General features: G+C 49.4%; 2 protein-coding genes across 5 annotated transcripts in view, besides 13 other annotated features; one reads left to right on the forward strand and one right to left on the reverse strand.

Moving 5' to 3' along the window:
- LRRC41 (leucine rich repeat containing 41) overlaps positions 1–2,842 on the reverse strand; it is a 26,155-nt gene extending 23,313 nt beyond the window's left edge. The window contains exon 1 of one of the 2 annotated variants that reach the window (NM_006369.5): positions 2,350–2,842. In NM_006369.5, the coding sequence (NP_006360.3) occupies positions 2,350–2,548 (199 nt within the window). In that variant the 5' untranslated portion in view covers positions 2,549–2,842. Of the gene's footprint in view, positions 1–1,988; positions 2,258–2,349 lie in introns of those variants that run through there. The other variant, XM_047431688.1, reaches the window with a different exon arrangement.
- Positions 182–764: an enhancer, noted in NCBI's record as "H3K27ac-H3K4me1 hESC enhancer chr1:46766628-46767210 (GRCh37/hg19 assembly coordinates)". NCBI's record gives its function as "activates a minimal SCP1, AML or CMV promoter by ChIP-STARR-seq in primed H9 embryonic stem cells {active_cell/tissue: H9 hESC(primed)}" and the evidence as "EXISTENCE:reporter gene assay evidence [ECO:0000049][PMID:30033119]".
- Positions 765–1,347: an enhancer, noted in NCBI's record as "H3K27ac-H3K4me1 hESC enhancer chr1:46767211-46767793 (GRCh37/hg19 assembly coordinates)". NCBI's record gives its function as "activates a minimal SCP1, AML or CMV promoter by ChIP-STARR-seq in primed H9 embryonic stem cells {active_cell/tissue: H9 hESC(primed)}" and the evidence as "EXISTENCE:reporter gene assay evidence [ECO:0000049][PMID:30033119]".
- Positions 765–1,597: a biological region, named in NCBI's record as "H3K27ac-H3K4me1 hESC enhancer GRCh37_chr1:46767211-46767793".
- Positions 838–957: an enhancer, noted in NCBI's record as "active region_996". NCBI's record gives its function as "activates an Ori minimal core promoter by ATAC-STARR-seq in GM12878 lymphoblastoid cells {active_cell/tissue: GM12878}" and the evidence as "EXISTENCE:reporter gene assay evidence [ECO:0000049][PMID:35858748]".
- Positions 1,048–1,597: a silencer, noted in NCBI's record as "silent region_840". NCBI's record gives its function as "represses an Ori minimal core promoter by ATAC-STARR-seq in GM12878 lymphoblastoid cells {active_cell/tissue: GM12878}" and the evidence as "EXISTENCE:reporter gene assay evidence [ECO:0000049][PMID:35858748]".
- Positions 1,628–1,697: a silencer, noted in NCBI's record as "silent region_841". NCBI's record gives its function as "represses an Ori minimal core promoter by ATAC-STARR-seq in GM12878 lymphoblastoid cells {active_cell/tissue: GM12878}" and the evidence as "EXISTENCE:reporter gene assay evidence [ECO:0000049][PMID:35858748]".
- Positions 2,048–2,197: a silencer, noted in NCBI's record as "silent region_842". NCBI's record gives its function as "represses an Ori minimal core promoter by ATAC-STARR-seq in GM12878 lymphoblastoid cells {active_cell/tissue: GM12878}" and the evidence as "EXISTENCE:reporter gene assay evidence [ECO:0000049][PMID:35858748]".
- Positions 2,228–2,277: a silencer, noted in NCBI's record as "silent region_843". NCBI's record gives its function as "represses an Ori minimal core promoter by ATAC-STARR-seq in GM12878 lymphoblastoid cells {active_cell/tissue: GM12878}" and the evidence as "EXISTENCE:reporter gene assay evidence [ECO:0000049][PMID:35858748]".
- Positions 2,328–2,387: a silencer, noted in NCBI's record as "silent region_844". NCBI's record gives its function as "represses an Ori minimal core promoter by ATAC-STARR-seq in GM12878 lymphoblastoid cells {active_cell/tissue: GM12878}" and the evidence as "EXISTENCE:reporter gene assay evidence [ECO:0000049][PMID:35858748]".
- Positions 2,378–2,777: an enhancer, noted in NCBI's record as "active region_997". NCBI's record gives its function as "activates an Ori minimal core promoter by ATAC-STARR-seq in GM12878 lymphoblastoid cells {active_cell/tissue: GM12878}" and the evidence as "EXISTENCE:reporter gene assay evidence [ECO:0000049][PMID:35858748]".
- Positions 2,378–3,096: a biological region, named in NCBI's record as "H3K27ac hESC enhancer GRCh37_chr1:46768959-46769542".
- Positions 2,513–3,096: an enhancer, noted in NCBI's record as "H3K27ac hESC enhancer chr1:46768959-46769542 (GRCh37/hg19 assembly coordinates)". NCBI's record gives its function as "activates a minimal SCP1, AML or CMV promoter by ChIP-STARR-seq in primed H9 embryonic stem cells {active_cell/tissue: H9 hESC(primed)}" and the evidence as "EXISTENCE:reporter gene assay evidence [ECO:0000049][PMID:30033119]".
- On the forward strand, positions 2,924–16,002 carry UQCRH (ubiquinol-cytochrome c reductase hinge protein). 3 transcript variants are annotated; one of them, NM_001297565.2, is made up of 5 exons: positions 2,924–3,046; positions 8,327–8,353; positions 9,123–9,270; positions 9,381–9,542; positions 15,778–16,002. In NM_001297565.2, the coding sequence occupies exons 3-5, from the start codon at positions 9,208–9,210 to the stop codon at positions 15,808–15,810; spliced, it is 258 nt and encodes an 85-aa protein (NP_001284494.1). In that variant the 5' UTR covers positions 2,924–3,046; positions 8,327–8,353; positions 9,123–9,207; the 3' UTR covers positions 15,811–16,002. The 3 variants fall into 3 exon arrangements, with proteins under 3 accessions (NP_001284494.1, NP_005995.2, NP_001284495.1); NM_006004.4 differs by lacking the exon at positions 9,123–9,270; NM_001297566.2 differs by lacking the exons at positions 8,327–8,353; positions 9,123–9,270.
- Positions 3,097–3,678: an enhancer, noted in NCBI's record as "H3K27ac hESC enhancer chr1:46769543-46770124 (GRCh37/hg19 assembly coordinates)". NCBI's record gives its function as "activates a minimal SCP1, AML or CMV promoter by ChIP-STARR-seq in primed H9 embryonic stem cells {active_cell/tissue: H9 hESC(primed)}" and the evidence as "EXISTENCE:reporter gene assay evidence [ECO:0000049][PMID:30033119]".
- Positions 16,003–16,999: the final 997 nt, after the last annotated feature.

A 16,999-nucleotide genomic window follows, 5' to 3' on the forward strand; every position in this document is an offset into this window, starting at 1 on the left:
TACACAAAGCGATGCTAGTCCACTACCTCCAGGAAGCCTTTCCTGGCTGTTAGCCCACACAGACCTTCCTCTAAAATAGCAATGCTTAGCAGGCCTCTTCCTTGGCTATTCTCCTAAAAGGCCTCACTTGATTCAGCTTTTTCTGGTCTAGGCCCACAGGAGCTCTTCCTCCCCTGTCTCCTCTCAACTTGGCTGGGGGCTCAGCCAGTAATGGGATGGTGGTATGTACAGCAGTGGTAGGGGAGGGAGAAGGGGAAAGGGAGATTCAGTAAACTGTCAATTGTTTTAGGGGGAAGAGGCCACACGGGAAGAAGTTCCTCCAGAGCCTTACCCCTTTTCCCTCCAACCTGCTCCCCTCTAGTTAGCCATCTCTTCTTGCAGCCACAGGAATTCTCATCCCCAGTTACCCACAAACTCCTCTCTTCCTTTCTCCATTCTTCTTAAGCCGGGATTTTCCTTGCTTCTTTCTAGCCTGCACCTTTAATGCTGCTGCTTCCCAACCTGGGCCTCCGCACCCAGTCATCTTCCTTTTTAGCCAGTCTTAGCATCCCAGAAGCTCCAGGCGGAAAAGCCAGACCCTCTCTGCCTTCTTCCCCATGCCCTAGGACTTTTCTGAGCTCCCTGCTCAGCTCTACGGAGCCTTTCCTCCTGTTCCCCATGGGTCGGCCTGCCCCTTGTCTTCTCAGCCGCTGGCTGGCCTGGGGCCTCCACTGTCCCCTCCGCACACCGGCCGACTTCTAAAAGCCTCTTCCACCACCACTATGCAGGACACTCAGGCCTCATGGTACTGGGCTCCACTCCCACAGCCAAGGGCCTCCCCGACCACCCTCCAGCTTATCCCGGAGCTTCAGTCCCCCCAAACTCCAGGGCCTTTTCCCCACACCCCCTCCTCATGGCATAACTCAAACTCCGCGCCCTGCAACCTCGAGTCCTCAAAGTCCTCACTCCTGTCCTGACCAGGGCCTTCCTCCTGCAAAGACGCCACGGCCACCCGCAAGGCCTCCTGGTGGAACCTCCCCCGCGCCGCTTCCAGGCCCGGGGCCTGCTCTCCTGCCCCCCTCCCCAGCAGGCCTCGGCCGGGCCTGCCACCTCTTCGCCCAACTCCAACCCCGGCCTCCCGACCCCACCCTCACAGAGCCAGCAGCCTCTCAGGCCCGAGGCCTCCCCTGTCCCCAGCGCGGCTAGGCCTGCTTGGCAGAGCCTCACTTTCCCCTCTTTCACTTGCCCCACGTCGGACCCAAGTTTCCCTCGTCAGCGGCCAGGCCGCGGCCAGCGGTCCCCAACCCACAGCCCCGCCTCCCAGCCCAACTGGCCGGTTCGCCCTCCCCGGCCGTTCATCCCGGCGCCCCAGGCCGCCCTCCATCCAGGCCCGGCCCTTTGGTCCCGGCCGCCTTCAGGCCTGGGGCCCCCGTTCACTCCCATTCAGCCCAAGGCCTCTTGGCGGCGCCGCGCCCCCTGCCACGGCAGCCCGGCAGTCCGGGATCCCCGGGCCGTCGCCCCGCTTGGGGCCTCCTTGGCCCTTCCCGCCTGTCCGTCATTCGAGCCTCCCTCGCTTGTTTAAGCCGCTCCGGGCCCCCCTCCACTCGCTCTCCGGTCCCTCCTCGCCGCTCGAGCCGATCCGAGTGGCCTCCGGCGCTCCCTGTCCTGCGGGTCGCACGGTCGCTCGGTCGCTTAGTCAGTTTGGCACCCGAGACCCCGGTTGTCGGTTCGCTCCCGTCAGCCCTGGGCCGTCAGACAGGCCGCGGCGCCCCGACCCTTTCGTTCGGCCTCTCCCCCTGCCCCATTCCCTCGCTCTCCAATCTGCTGTCCTCCCCTCCGCCCATCGGCTTGGCCTCCGGAATCTCGACCCCCGTGGCGTGTCAGGCAGATGCTGGAGCCCCGGGGCCATCAGTCAGGTTCGGTGGCCCCGGGCCTGGCCTGGCCTTGCCTTAGGCCGGGCCTCCTAACCTCGGCCCCTGCCCTAGGGCAGCCGGGCCATCGCTGCCCACCGGTTCGACATCCGAGACTCTCCTGCCCGGCCCAGCCGAGTGTCAGTTCGCGCGGCCCACAGCCGCAATCCAGCCTCAGTCGCCCGGGCCCAGCCTGCTTCGCTCCAGACCGGGCCTCCTGGCCTCGCCCCCCGCGCCCCCGAGCCAGGCCGCGGTGCGGGTCAGCCTGCCCATTTAGGTCTCCGTCTTTACTCTGTCCAGCCCTGTCAGTCACAAAATTCATTCTCCGATCCTACGAGCTGGCTTTCAGCGCCCCAGGCTGGGCCTTGCCCCGGGCCTCCCGGCCTCGCCCCCCGCGCCCCCCGGCCGCTGGGCCGCCCCTTGCTCTTAGCCAGAGGTAGCCCCTCACCCCGCGACTTACCCCACACCCCGCTCTCCAGAACCCCCATATGGGCGCTCACCGCCCGCCCGCACAGCTCGAACAGGGCGGGGGGAGCGTTGGGGCCCGAGGCCGAGCTCTTCGCTGGCGCCGCCTCCCGGGACGTGGCCTCCATGGTCGTTGCCGCCGCTACCTCACAGAACCAGCAACTCCGGGCGCGCCAGGCCTCGGGCGCCGCCATCTTGGGGAGGTGCGCGAGCCCGAGAGTGTCGCCCGCGGACCGCCATCTTGAAAAGGTCAGCAGTTAGGACGGCTCCATAAGCGATATGGGGAAGAATGTGAATTATTCTAAAGAAATTTCGAAGAAATTAGCACACTTTCCAAGTCTCTTAGGAGCTACTATTTTAGATAAACTCCTAGATCAATTATACTTGGGTGTGGTATGACTAAGGGGATGTTTCTTAGCAAAGCCTCCTCGGGTGCAAACATCAGCTACCCCTAACCTCTGCCTGCGGCTGGTAGTACATGCCAATCTGAGCATGTGTTCGCGACCACGATGAGTGTGCCGCACTTCCGGCCAGATCGCCGGATTTCCGCTGAGTGACCCTTACAAGTCCTTCTTGATCCTGAACTGGGTTAGGTGCCGCTGTTGCTGCTCGTGTTGAATCTAGAACCGTAGCCAGACATGGGACTGGAGGACGAGCAAAAGATGCTTACCGAATCCGGAGATCCTGAGGAGGTAAGGCAAGGCGATCCACTCGGCCCTCTTCTCTGCCCTGAAGCCCAGGACCTAGCCCGCCAAAACACGCACGGGGCCCTCTTAGCCCCCAGTTTACCCTCTAGGGTTTGCATAGTCGGGAGCTCTAGTTCCCTCGACCTTTCCCCAGAATTCGTCCGGTGACTTTGGACAGATAGATGACTAGTTTTTCTCTGGGCCTCGGCTTCTGCATTCTGTGAATGTAGTGAAGGTTTGAGAGCGAAAATGTTTTGTGGACTAAAGTCTTGTAAAAATATGACCTATGTTTGCAGTCAGTCAGATGTTCTGAAGCCCGCGTTTCACAGATTTGGGGAGCAAACAGACCGCCTTGCCCCAGCTCAGGTTAGGAATCCCTACCACATCTTCTATGGAGGTTCGGAAGACCTGGCCTTGTGTTCCTTTTCTTTGAGGAAGGTGTGTGTCTTTGGGGACAATGAAAGAATGTACGATGTGATTCTGTGATGGAAGAGGGAGCTCTTTCCCAGAGAAAGAGTGCTGCTATAATTATTGACTGCTTGCTATTCCAAGTGCTTTATATGCACTAATTAATTTTTTTTTTTTTTTTGAGATGGAATCTCGCTCTGTCGCCCAGGCTGGAGTGCAGTGGCGTGGTCTCGGCTCGCTGCAACCTCCGCCTCCTGGGTTCAAGCGATTCTCCTGCCTCAGCCTCCCAGGTAGCTGGGACTACAGGTGTCCGCCACCACGCCTGGCTAATTTTTGTGTTTTTAGTAGCGACGGGGGTTTCACTCTGTTGGCCAGGCTGATCTCGAACTCCTGACCTAGTGATCCGCCCACCCCGGCCTCCCAAAGTCCTGGGATTACAGGCGTGAGCCACCGCGCCCGGCCCTAATTCATTTCATCTACACACTATTCCTATGAAGTAAGTGTTGGGTACTATTAGTGCCATTTTTACAGATGAGGAAACAAGCATAGAGGTTAAATATCTTTTCTAAGGTCATGCAGCTACCAAATTGGTGCAGCCAGGAATTGCGGCCAAGCAGCGCGGTTCTAGAACCAGGACTCTTATCAATTTTGCGACACAGCTACTAGTTGTTTCTAATCTCATTTCCTGTCCGTCTGTTCTCTGGTCACTTGGGGGCAGCCATTCTGGGCTGTGGGTTCAGAATAATTGGAGACTTATTTATCCCTTAATTTTTCTAGTCTTATTATTTCTAAAAAGAAATAGAACCTGAGGCCGGGCGCAGTGGCTCACGCCTGTAATCCCAACACTTTAGGAGGACGGCCGAGGCAGACAGGTAGCATGAGTCCAGGAGTTGGACCAGCCTGGGCAACGTGGCGAAACCCCGTCTCTACAAAAAATATAAAAATTAGCCGGGCATGGTGGTGAACGCCTGTGGTCTCAACTGCTCGGGAGTTTGAGCCCAGGAAGTCCAGGCTGCAGTGAGCCGTGATCGTGTCACTGCACTCCAGCCGAGGCAACCCGAGTGAGACCCTGTCTCAAAAAAAAAAAAAAAAAAAAAAACTAAAGAAAGAAATGGAGCCTGCCTCAGAAAGGTCAGCAAGATCCACCGCTGCAATAGATGAGAAAAAGCAAGTAATTAAGCAGTCAGTTTTAAACTAGGGTATTCTGGCCGGGCGCGGTGGCTCATGCCTGTAATCCCAGCACTTTGGGAGGCCGAGGCGGGTGGATCGGGAGGCCGAGGCGGGTGGATCGGGAGGCCGAGGCGGGTGGATCAGGAGGTCAGGAGATCCAAACCATCCTGGCTAACATGGTGAAACCCCTTCTCTACTGAAAATACAAAAAATTAGCCGGGCGTGGCGGCGGGCGCCTGTAGTCCCAGCTACTCGAGAGGCTGAGGCAGAATGGCGTCAACCCGAGAGGCGAAGCTTGCAGTGAGCCAAGGTCGCGCCACTGCACTCCAGCCTGGGCGACAGAGCGAGACTCCGTCTCAAAATAAATAAATAAATAAATAAAATAAAATAAACTATGGTATTCTATGAGGAACCCATAATTTTTTTTTTTTGAGACGGAATCTTGCTCTGTCTCCCAGGCTGGAGTGCAGTGGCGTGATCCGGCTCACTGCAACCTCCGCTCCCGGGTTCAAGCGATTCTCTTTTGCCTCAGCCTCCTGAGTAGCTGAAATTACAGGCGCACGCCACCTAATTTTTGTATTTTTAGTAGAGACAGGGTTTCACCGTGTTAGCCAGGATGGTCTGGATCTGACCTCCTGATCCGCCCTCCTCGGCCTCCCAAAGTGCTGGGATTACAGGCCTGAGCCACCGCGCCCGGCTGAGGAACGCAAAATTATTGAGGATTAAATCTTTTTATCTGGTGTGATCTTGGTTTTTCTCAGTGACTGGAAATTTTACATGTAGCAATCCATATTCAAACATATTTGGATTTATTTTTTCAAAACCTGCCATGTTATTTTTGACACAAAATTATCAGTGACACAGAATTACCAGTGTTGTAGCATTGCTAATAGGGAAATGATATAAGGGTCTTGTATCTACGGTCCTAATTTCTGTTTTCTAACTCGGGCAGAATGTAATTTTAGTTTTTTTGGGAAAACTTTTTCAGTTTTTTTTTTTTTTTTTTTGTGACGGAGTCTCGCTCTTGCCTGGCTGGAGTACAGTGGCGCGATCTCACTGCAACCTCTGCCTCCTGGGTTCAGGCAATGCTCCTGCCTCAGTCTCCCGAGTAGCTGGGACTACAGGCGTGTGCCATCACGCCCAGCTAATTTTTGTAATTTTAGTAGAGATGGGGTTTCACCATGTTGGCCAGGATGGTCTCAATCTCTTGACCTCGTGATCCTCCTGCCTTGGCCTCCCAAAGTGCTGGGATTACAGACATGAGCCACTGCACCCGGCTTTCAGTATGTTTTTTAAAAGAGCAGCATTAAGAAACCTTGTTAATGAAAAACTAGAATTTACATCCTAAATAGCATCTTCATATTTAGAAGAAACCTTTGCCAATTGTGAGAATAAATAGCCTGGATTCCAAATTGAACCTTTCCTACCCCTCACTCCCAGCTTGTATGAGCTTTGGTGGCTTCACTGAATGGCATGGTAGAGGATGAAACATGTATTAGGACTTTTTTTGGAGACGGGGTCTCACTCTTGTCACCCAGACTGGGGTGCAGTGGTACAGTCATAGCTCACTGCAGCCTCAAACCCCTGGGCTCAAGGGATCCTCCCACCTCGGCCTTCTGAGTAGCCATGACCACAGACGTGCGCCACCATGCCCGGCTAATTTATTTATTTTTGAGACGGAGTCTCTCTGTCGCCCAGGCTGGAGTGCAGGGGTAGGATCTTGGCTCCTGCAACCTCTGCCTCCTGGTTTCAGGTGATTCTCCTGCCTCAGCCTCCTGAGTAGCTGGGATTTCAGGCGCGTGCCACCATGCCCAGGTAATTTTTGTATTTTTAGTAGAGACGGGGTTTCACCATGGTGGCCGGGCTGATTGAGAACTCCTGACCTCAGGTGATCTGGCCACCTCAGCCTCCCAAAGTGCTGGGATTACAGGTGTGAACCACTATGCCCAGCCTGTTTTTAATTTTTTTAGAGATGGGGTCTTGTCATGTTGCCCAGGCTGGTCTCAAGCAGTCCTCTCACCTGGCCCTGTATTGGAGTTCTGAAAACATGATTCCTGAGCTAGTTCTTTTTATTTCCCTAGATACCTTTTCTTTCCTTGCCCCCAAATGTGGGTATCTGCATGCACAGGCAGGCAAACACCTTATTTCTGAGGTCAGATTTTACTATATCCCAAATTTAGGCCTAAACTGTTGCTCCCATGGGCAGTTTTTTACACTACTATCCTTGAAGAAGAAGGAAACTAAGTTTGAGGTTGTGCATTTGAATCAGAAGTGAATAGGTGGGGTCTGTTCTGTATTTCCAAGCTCATGAGTGGAGTTGTGCACTTTTATTTGATATACTTAGTCTACTAGGGGTTCTGGGAGTTCAGCAAGCCAAAAAGCAGTGACTAACCATCCTTAGTTAAGCTCTGACCAAACAAGGGTTTTTAGGTTTAGCAGTTTTCATATTCCTAATTCAAGTTCACAGTCTAGAAAAAAATGGGTTTTCCTCCTAACTTGGTTTGGGATGTAAGGACTAAATTTTGCTATTTGTAGCAATACTGGGACAAATACTTTAGATTATGTAGGCCCCATGTGAACATCTGGCAGCTTGAATCTGTATCAGAAAATGTCTAATTACTGTTTATTATCTCTAAACTGGGATTACCTCCTTAAGGGACTGTTGTGATTAATTAAATCATAAGAGATATGAAGGTGCTTTATAAACTGGAGAGTATTAAGCACACTTAGGTTCTTGTTAATGAAAGTGAGATGGTGTCTCTGTCTTGAAATATACCTGGGATTCGTTTTAACCAAGTATGGTAAGGTGACAGACCTGGAGACAACCGCCTTTGAAAGAAGAGTTTATTATTACTTAAATTTCCTGAAAGAGAGGGATATGCCACACAAAAAAATGCAGAGCTATATGGGGAAGTGTCTGAGCTCGTCAGGAGGCAGAAGGTATGAGGGGAAGGAAGCATGGCTCAGCACCTTGGTTTCTATGGGAAGGAATTGGTGGGCAGCGTAGGTACACTTGCTCAAATTTAGGATTGGATAGTTTGAATAATTTCGTTGGGCTCTAGCTTATAGGGCTGGTTCCTAGTTGTCCTATATTTGTCCCTGGGGTGATTTAGAGAAGGGGAAACAGGAGCTTAGTGTACAAAACTTAGATAAAGGAGGCAGGGCCAGGCTGAGTGGCTAATGCCTATAATCCCACCACTTTGGGAGGCCAAGGTAGGAGGATTGATTGAGCCCAGGAGTTTGAGAGCAGCCTGGGCAACATAATGAGACCTTGTCTCTACCACAAAGAAAATTTTTAAATTAGCCAGGCATGTGGCGTGTGCTTATAGTCCTAGCTACTCAGAAGGCTGAGGCAGGAGGATCACTTGAGCCCAGGAGTTTGTGGCTGCAGTGAGCTATGACAGAGCAAGACTCTGTCTCTTAAACAAAAGATAAAGGAGGCAGTTTGCTACAAGCACTTTGGATAGTTACGTTGCATATGAAAGGTATGCTCGCAGGCAAGTTTGCTGTCTAAAAATTAGCCCTGGAAGAGCAGGATTAGCTCCAGGATTAGCAAGGCCTCTAAAATGTAAAAACATCATAAAACACAGAAAACAAAATAACATCGTTAATAGTGTCAGTGTCTATCGTCAGTAATTACATCAGTATGATCAGGAATAAATATGTCATAAAATTGCTGCTGACATTAATTTTGTTTTCCTTTTGTAGGAGGAAGAGGAAGAGGAGGAATTAGTGGTAAGAACTGTCTCAGGTTTGGAAACATCTCAGTAAAAGCAGGGTTTGAGCTTCATGAAATTCTAAGGGCATTTTAAGGAGTTTTTACTTGATACCTTGTAGATAATGGGGGTGGAATAAGCTTTGATACTTCCTGTGCAGTGGAGAGTTTAGGGTGTGAGCCTTGGAAGCTGAGTCTGTTCTGGGTTTGGGGCTTCTTCAGTTGTGGTACCAGGGAGCAGATGGCATCTTGAGGGCCTGGCACTCAATCATCTGCTATTTGTGGTTTAATAAAGAACTTTGGGCTAGGCATGGTGGCTCGTGCCTGTAATCTCAGCACTTTGGGAGGCCAAGGCAGGCGGATTACCAGCCTGAACAACGTAGAGAAACCCCATCTCTACTAAAAATACAAAATTAGCCGGGCGTGGTGGCACATGCCTGTAATCCCAGCTACTCGAGAGGCTGAGGCAGGAGAATTGCTCGAACCCGAGAGGCGGAGGTTGTGGTGAGCTGAGATTGCGCCATTGCGCTCCAGCCTGGGCAACAAGAGCAAAACTCCGTCTTAAAAAAAAAAAAAAAAAGAACTCTGAAGGAACCTTTGTTAGATAGTCCTTCTCTATGTTAGCATTGCCTTTCTAGTTGGGCAGCTGGGGTGCATAGGCCTGGTTCTCAGACAAGGGGATTTGAAGTTTCAGACGTGTCATATTCCAAAATGCTGTGTTAACAAGTAAGGCCTCCTATAGATCTACTTCAAGTTTGGCCAGGTTTCCTTTACCACCTTGTTTTTCAGATAGGACTGAGGCTTTCAGTGCATACTGGCAACCTTGGAAGGCAGGAATGTGAAACTTTTCCCTACTACTTAGCATCAGAATTGAATGGGAGACCGCATTCTGCCATTTCTGGCGGCAGTGTGGCTCTGCCAGCTGGCCTTCTGCACGGTAATTCAGAGGCAGCACCTTGGTTTGGTGGTTGTGTTAATCAAAGCATATGTGTTTGGTGGGTCTCTGCTAAAAATGCCCATTTTGTTTTTTTTCTGTTTCTACATCAGGATCCCCTAACAACAGTGAGAGAGCAATGCGAGCAGTTGGAGAAATGTGTAAAGGCCCGGGAGCGGCTAGAGCTCTGTGATGAGCGTGTATCCTCTCGATCACATACAGAAGAGGATTGCACGGAGGAGCTCTTTGACTTCTTGCATGCGAGGGACCATTGCGTAAGTCAGTGGGAAGTCAGGAAGGGGAAAGGTTGCAATGGTCAGGGAAGACTTGGTGCCAACAATCTTTCCATGCTAGGGAAAGGCCCATCAGTTACTCTGGGCCCAATATATGTGACATATGGTGCGCTGAGCATTTTATGTAAATAACCTATTCTATTTTATTGAGAGGGTCTCACTATGTTGTCCAGGCTGAAGTACAGCGGCATGATCGTAGCTCAGTGCCAACCTTGAACTCCTGGGCCTAAGTGATCCTGCCTTGGCCTCCCAAGTAGCTGGGACTACAAGTGCATGCCACCATGAGAGGCTAATTTTTTATTTTTTAATTTTTTCTAGTGACGGGGCCTTGTTATGTTGCCCAGGCTGGTCTCAAACTCCTGGGCTCAAGCAATCCTTCCTTCCATCTCGGCCCTCTGAAGTGCTGGGATTATAGGCATGAGCCATTGTGCCTGGCCTATAAATAATCTTGCCTAGGGCGCGGTGGCTCATGCCTGTAATCCCAGCACTTTGGGAGGCCGAGGCGGGTGGATCATGAGGTCAGGAGATCGAGACCATCCTGGCTAACAAGGTGAAACCCCGTCTCTACTAAAAATACAAAAAATTAGCTGGGCGCGGTGGCGGGCGCCTGTAGTCCCAGCTACTCGGGAGGCTGAGGCAGGAGAATGGCGTGAACCCGGGGAAGCGGAGCTTGCAGTGAGCCGAGATTGCGCCACTGCAGTCCGCAGTCTGGCCTGGGCGACAGAGCGAGACTCCATCTCAAAAAAAAAAAAAAATAATAATAATAATAATCTTGCCTAATCCTTACTACTTCCACTGGAGATAGGTATCATTATCCCATTTCACAGATAGAAACTGAGGCTCAGAGAAAAAAACATAAACATCCCAACATGCACCACTAAACAGTGGGGAAGCTGGATTTTGTACTTTTCAATAACAGACTGTTCTTTAAAAATAATTTGTATTGGCCGGGCGCGGTGGCTCACGCCTGTAATCCCAGCACTTTGGGAGGCGGAGGCGGAGGCGGAGGCGGAGGCGGGCGGATCACGAGGTCAGGAGATTGAGACCATCTTGGCTAACACAGCGAAACCCGTCCCTACTAAAGTACAAAAAATTAGCCGGGCGTGGTGGCGGGCGCCTGTAGCCCCCAGCTACTCGGGAGCCTGAGGCAGGAGAATGGCGTCAACCCAGGAGGCGGAGCTTGCAGTGAGCCAAGGTTGCGCCAAAAAAAAAATAATTTGTATCCTCAAATGTGTCTAATATATAGTAGTTGGTCCAAAAGGTTGCTTTTTTTTTTGAGACGGAGTCTTGGTCTGTCGCCCAGGCTGGAGTGCAGTGGCGCGATCTCGGCTCACTGCAAGCTCCACCTCCCGGCTTCACGCCATTCTCTTGCCTCTGCCTCCCGAGTAGCTGGGACCGCAGGCGCCCGCCACCATTCCCGGCTAATGGTTTTTTTGTTTTTTTTTGTTTGTTTGTTTTTGTTTTTTTGTATTTTTAGTAGAGACGGGGTTTCACTGTGTTAGCCAAGATGGTCTCAGTCTCCTGACCCCTGTGATCCACCTGCCTCAGCCTTCCAAAGTTCTGGGATTACAGGTGTGAACCACTGCACCCAGCCTTTTTTTTTTTTTTTGAGATAAGGTCTTGCTTGCTCTGTCACCCAGGCTGGAGTGCAGTGGCACAATTATGGCACACTACAGCCTCTACCTCCTGGTTCAAACAATCCTTCTGCCTTAGCCTCTGAGTAGCCAGGACTATAGGCACATGCCACCATGCCTTGGTAATTTTTTTTTTTTTTAATTTGAGACTGAGTTGCACTCTGTCACCCAGGCTGGAGTGCAGTGGCGCAATCTTGGCTCACTGCAACCTCCACCTCCTGGGTTCAAGCGATTTTCCTGCTTCAGCCTCCCAAGTAACTGGGATTAAAGGTGCACGCCACCACACCCAGCTAATTTTTTGTTTGTTTGTATTTTTAGTAGAGACGGGGTTTCACCATGTTGGCCAGGCTGGTCTTGAACTCCTGACCTCCAGTGATCCACCTGCCTCAGCCTTCCAAAGTGCTGAGATTACAGGCGTGAGCCACCGCACCTGGCCCATACCTGGGTAATTTTTGTATTTTTTGTAGAGATGGGATTTTGCCGTGTTGCCCAGGCTGGTCTAGAACTCCTGGGTTCACACATGCCACTCATCTCAGCTTCCCAGAGTGTTGGGATTACAGGTGTGAGATACCATGCCTGGCCTCAAGGGGTTGTTTTTTAAAAGTAAACTCAGGCAGGGCATAGTGGCTGACGCTTATGATCCTAGCACTTTTGGAAGACCAAGGCAGGAGGACCCCTTGACCCCAGGAGTTTAAGACCAGCCTGGGCAAGATAGGGGAACCCTGTCTCTACTTTTAAAAAATCAAAATTAAAAAAATAAAAATAAACTTCTGCTTGACTCTTACATATAACACAGTAAGGTATTTTACATAAATTATACATAAGCAAAGTTTGATGTGGTTGCTTCTATTAAAACTAATTGGATGGCCAGTAAACGTATGAAAAGATGTTCAACATCATTAGCCACCAGGGATACTACCATGAGATAACACTTTATACCAACTGCCCACTAGGATGGCTATAATAAAGAAGATAACGAGTGTTGACGACAATGTGGAAAAGTTGGAAACCTCATACGCTGTCAGTAAAAGTGTAAATTGGTACAGCCACTGTGGAAAACATCTGGCAGTTCCTCAAAAGGCTAAATATACAGTTAATATATGACACAGCAATTACACTCGAAGATATATACCCAAGAGAAATGAAAACATATGTTCACATAAAAACTTGTACACAAATGTTCATAGAAGCATTATTTATACTACCCAAAAAGTGGAAACAACATAAGTGTCCATCAGCTAGGCTGGGCACTGTGGCTCATGCTTGTAATCGCAGAACTTTGCGAGGTCAAGGCAGGCAGATCACCTGAGCCCAGGAATTTGAGACCAGCCTGGGCAACATGGTAAAACCCTGTCTTTACAAAAAATATATATATAAAAGCCGGGCGCGGTGGCTCACGCCTGTAATCCCAGCCCTTTGGGAGGCGGAGGCGGGTGGATCATGAGGTCAGGAGATCGAGACCAGCCTGGCCAATATGGTGAAACCCCATCTCTACTAAAAATACAAAAAAATTAGCCGGGCGTGGTGGCGGGCGCCTGTAGTCCCAGCTACTTGGGAGGCTGAGGCTGGAGAATGGCGTGAACCCGGGAGGCGGAGCTTGCAGTGAGCTGAGATTGTGCCACTGCACTCCAGCCTGGGCGACAGAGCGAGACTTCATCTCAAAAAAATATAGACAGATAGATAGATAGATAGATAGATAGATAGATAGATAGATAGATATAGATAACCAGGCAAGCTGGCTCACACCTGTAGTCCTAGCTACTTGGGAGGCTGAGGTGGGAGGATCACCTGAGCCTGGGGAAGTCAAGGCTTCAGTGAGCCATGATCACGCCACTGCACTCCAGCCTGGGTGACAGACTGAGACCCTGTCTCAAAAAAAAAAAAACAAGTTCTTTTCTCAAAAATTAAACATAGAATTATGTACTATATGATCTAGCAATTTCACTTCTAGGTATATACCCAGAAGTATTGAGAGTAGGCTTAAACAGATATTTCCACATTCATATTCACAATAGCCAAAAGGTAGAAACAACCCAATTTTCCATCCATAGATGCAAAGATTTTTTTAAAATGTGCTTTGTATATACAATGGGATATTATTCAGCCTTAAAAGAGAAGGGGGCCGGGGCACGGTGGCTCATGCCTGTAATCCCAACACTTTGGGAGGCCAAGGCAGGCGGATCACAAGGTCAGGAGATTGAGACTATCCTGGCTAACACGGTAAAACCCTGTCTCAAAATACAAAAGATTAGCCGGGCATGGTGGCGGGTGCTTGTAGAACCAGCTACTTGGGAGGCTGAGGCAGGAGATTGGCATGAACCCGGGAGGCGGAGCTTGCAGTGAGCTGAGATCACGCCACTGCACTTCAGCCTGGGTACAGAGCAAGACTCCGTCTCAAAAAAAAAAAAAAAAAGAGAAGGGGCTGGGCATAGCAGCTCATGCCTGTAATCCCAGCTTTTTGGGAGGCCGAGGCAAGTGGATCACCTGCTGTCCGGAGTTCGAGACCAGCTTGACCAATATGATGAAACCCCGTCTCTACTAAAAACACAAAAATTGGCTGCGCATGGTGGTATATGCGCCTGTAATCCCAGCTACTCGGGAGGCTGAGACAGGAGAATTGCTTGAACCCCGGAGGTGGAGGCTGCGGTGAGCCAAAGTTGCGCCATTGCACTCCACCCTGGGCAACAAGAGCAAAACTCCGTCTCAAAAAAAAAAAAAAAAAGGAGGGAAACTCTGACACGTGCTGCAACATTGATGAACCTTGGAGACATTAAACTAAGTGTCAAGGAAGACAAACATTGTATTGTTCCACTTTGGTGAGGTACCTAGAATAGCAGTCACATTCATAGAGACAGAAAGTAGAATGGTAGTAACCAGGAGCTGAGGGGAGAAAGGAAATGGAGAGTTACTGTTTAATGGATATAGTTTTGATTTAGTAAGATGAAAAAGGTCCCAAGATTGGACGTTCTAGAGATTGTAGGGGACTGTATGGTTGTAGAACAATGGGAATGCACTTAACTGCCACAGAAATGTACAGTTAAAAATGATTAAAGTGGGGCCTTGTGCGGTGGTTCACACCTCCTACACTTTGGGAGGCCAAGGCAGGCATGTCACTTGAGGTCAGGAGTTTGAGACCACCTCGGACAACATGGTGAAACCTTGTCTCTACTAAAATAAAAAATTAGCTGAGTGTAGGCCAGGTGCGGTGGCTCACGCCTGTAATCCCAGCACTTTCAGAGGCTGAGGCACGTGGATCACCTGAGGTCGGGAGTTCGAGACCAGCCTGACCAACATGGAGAAACACCGTCTCTACTAAAAATACAAAATTAGCCGGGCGTGGTGGCACATGCCTATAATCCCAGCTACTAGGGAGGCTGAGGCAGGAGAATCGCTTGAACCTGGGAGGCAGAGGTTGCGGTGAGCCATTGCACTCCAGCCTGGGCAACAAGAGTGAAACTCTGTCTCAAAAAAAAAAATTAGCTGAGTGTGGTGGCGCACACTTGTAATCCCAGCTACTCAGGAGTCTGAGGCAGGAGAATCACTTGAACCCGGGAGGCGGAGGTTGCAGTGAGCCAAGATTGTACCACTGCACTCCAGCCTGGGGGACAGAGCAAGACTGCCTCAAAAAAAAAAAAAAAAAAAAGATTAAAATAGAAAAAAAAAATTACTGAAGTGGAAAATTTTATGTTAGATGTATTTTATCATAATTTTTAACAAAATAAGTACTGAACATGCTACAACCTGGATAAACCTTGCAAACATGCTAAATGCTAAGGGGAAAAAGCCAGTCACAAAGTAAAAAATATCGTATGATATGATTTGTATGAAATGTTCAAAATAGGCAAGTCATGATCTGTTCCCTGAATTAACATCCCTACTGTTGATTTTCCCCCTCCCACTGTGTGGTCATTCTAAAAATATTTACATATATTTGTCAGCCAAGCACTGGTTTAGGATCTGGGAGTAAGATAGACATGGTTCATTCCTTCACTGAGTTTATGAGCCAGCATAGGAAACAGAAGTAGAACAAGTGCTAAACTTTGGTAAGTCTCTCAGGTATACCTTTCTCAGGGTAATATTAACTGAACCCCCCGCCCCGCCTCCCATTTATTTTCCTCCTAGCATTTCCCATTATCACAGGTTACCTTATTTATGTGTTCATTTTAACTCATTACCCTGTAAGTTTCTTAAGTGGCAGGCATGTTTTGTTACAGTTATAACTCACTCAGCACTTAGAACACTACCTGGCATATAGGAGATGTCCTGTTGAATTAATATGTAATGTTAATGTCACTGATGGGGAGGTACAAGTTTTTGTGGAAAGATAGGAGGGACAGATTTGTGTGTGGATAGGGGCTTGTTTAGAGAAGGCTTGCAGGAAATGACAGTTATCAGATCTAAATTCTAAAGGAAGAATAAAAGATGAAAAAAGTGGGGAGTTCACTAGGACTCAAGTGCTGCTTGCCTATGTGAGAAGGGGAGTGGTGAGAAGAGGGGCAGTACTGTTTCAGGTCTTGAAGGACCTTGTAAGCCATGACATTAAAGCTGCCAATTGATTACCTCCTTTTCTTTCCCCCATCTAGGTGGCCCACAAACTCTTTAACAACTTGAAATAAATGTGTGGACTTAATTCACCCCAGTCTTCATCATCTGGGCATCAGAATATTTCCTTATGGTTTTGGATGTACCATTTGTTTCTTATTTGTGTAACTGTAAGTTCACATGAACCTCATGGGTTTGGCTTAGGCTGGTAGCTTCTATGTAATTCGCAATGATTCCATCTAAATAAAAGTTCTATGATCTGCAAACCTGCCCGTCTTTTTTTTTTAATTGAGAATTTTTTTTTTTAATTTGATATTTTCTTTTAGTTTTGAGGGGGTGGGGAGCGGCAAGGAGGACAGGGTCTTACTTTGTTGGCTAGGCTGGAATGCAGTGGCGCAAACAGCTCATTGCAGCCTCCACTTCCTGGGCTCAACTGACCCTCTCACCGTGGCCCCAAGTTGCTGGGACTACAGCATGCATCACCATGCCCAGCTAATTTTAAAAATATTTTGGGCCGGGCGCGGTGGCTCACACCTGTAATCCCAGCACTTTGGGAGGCCGAGGCGGGTGGATCACGAGGTCAGGGGTTCGAGACCAGCCTGACCAACATGGTGAAACCCCGTCTCTACTAAAAATAAGAATATTAGCTGGGCATGGTGGCGGGCACCTGTAGTTCTAGCTACTCAGGAGGCTTAGGCGGGAGAATTGCTTGAACCCGGGAGGCAGAAGTTGCAGTGAGCCAAGATCGCGCCACTGCACTCCAGGCTGGGCAACAGAGCGAGACTCCGTCTCAAAAAATAAAATAAAAAATATATATTTTCTAGAGATGGCATCTCTCTGTGTCCAGGCTGGTCTTGAACTCTGGCCTCAAGCAATCCTCCTGCCTCAGCCTCCCAAAGTGCTGGGATTATAGGCATGAGCCACCACACATAGACCACAATTTTTAAACACATAAGAATAGATGTACCCATCACCTAGCAAGTATGTATGTCTTCATGAGGGCTGGGCCTGGCACGGTGGCTTATACCTGTAATCCCAACCCTTTCAGAGGCTGAGGCAAGAGGATCTCTTGAAGCCAGGAGTTCAAGACCACCCTAGGCAACATAGTGAGATCCTGTCTACAAAATTAAGTAGCTGGGTGTGATGGTGTTCTCCTGTAGTCCTAGCTACTTGGGAGGTTAAGATAAGAGAATAACTTAAGCCCAAAGTTCACTGGTTACATTGAGCTATGATCACTGAGTCTGGGACACATAGTTGAGACCC

The sequence above is a fragment of the Homo sapiens genome, chromosome 1, assembly GCF_000001405.40.
Source record: "Homo sapiens chromosome 1, GRCh38.p14 Primary Assembly".
Taxonomy (NCBI): domain Eukaryota; kingdom Metazoa; phylum Chordata; class Mammalia; order Primates; family Hominidae; genus Homo; species Homo sapiens.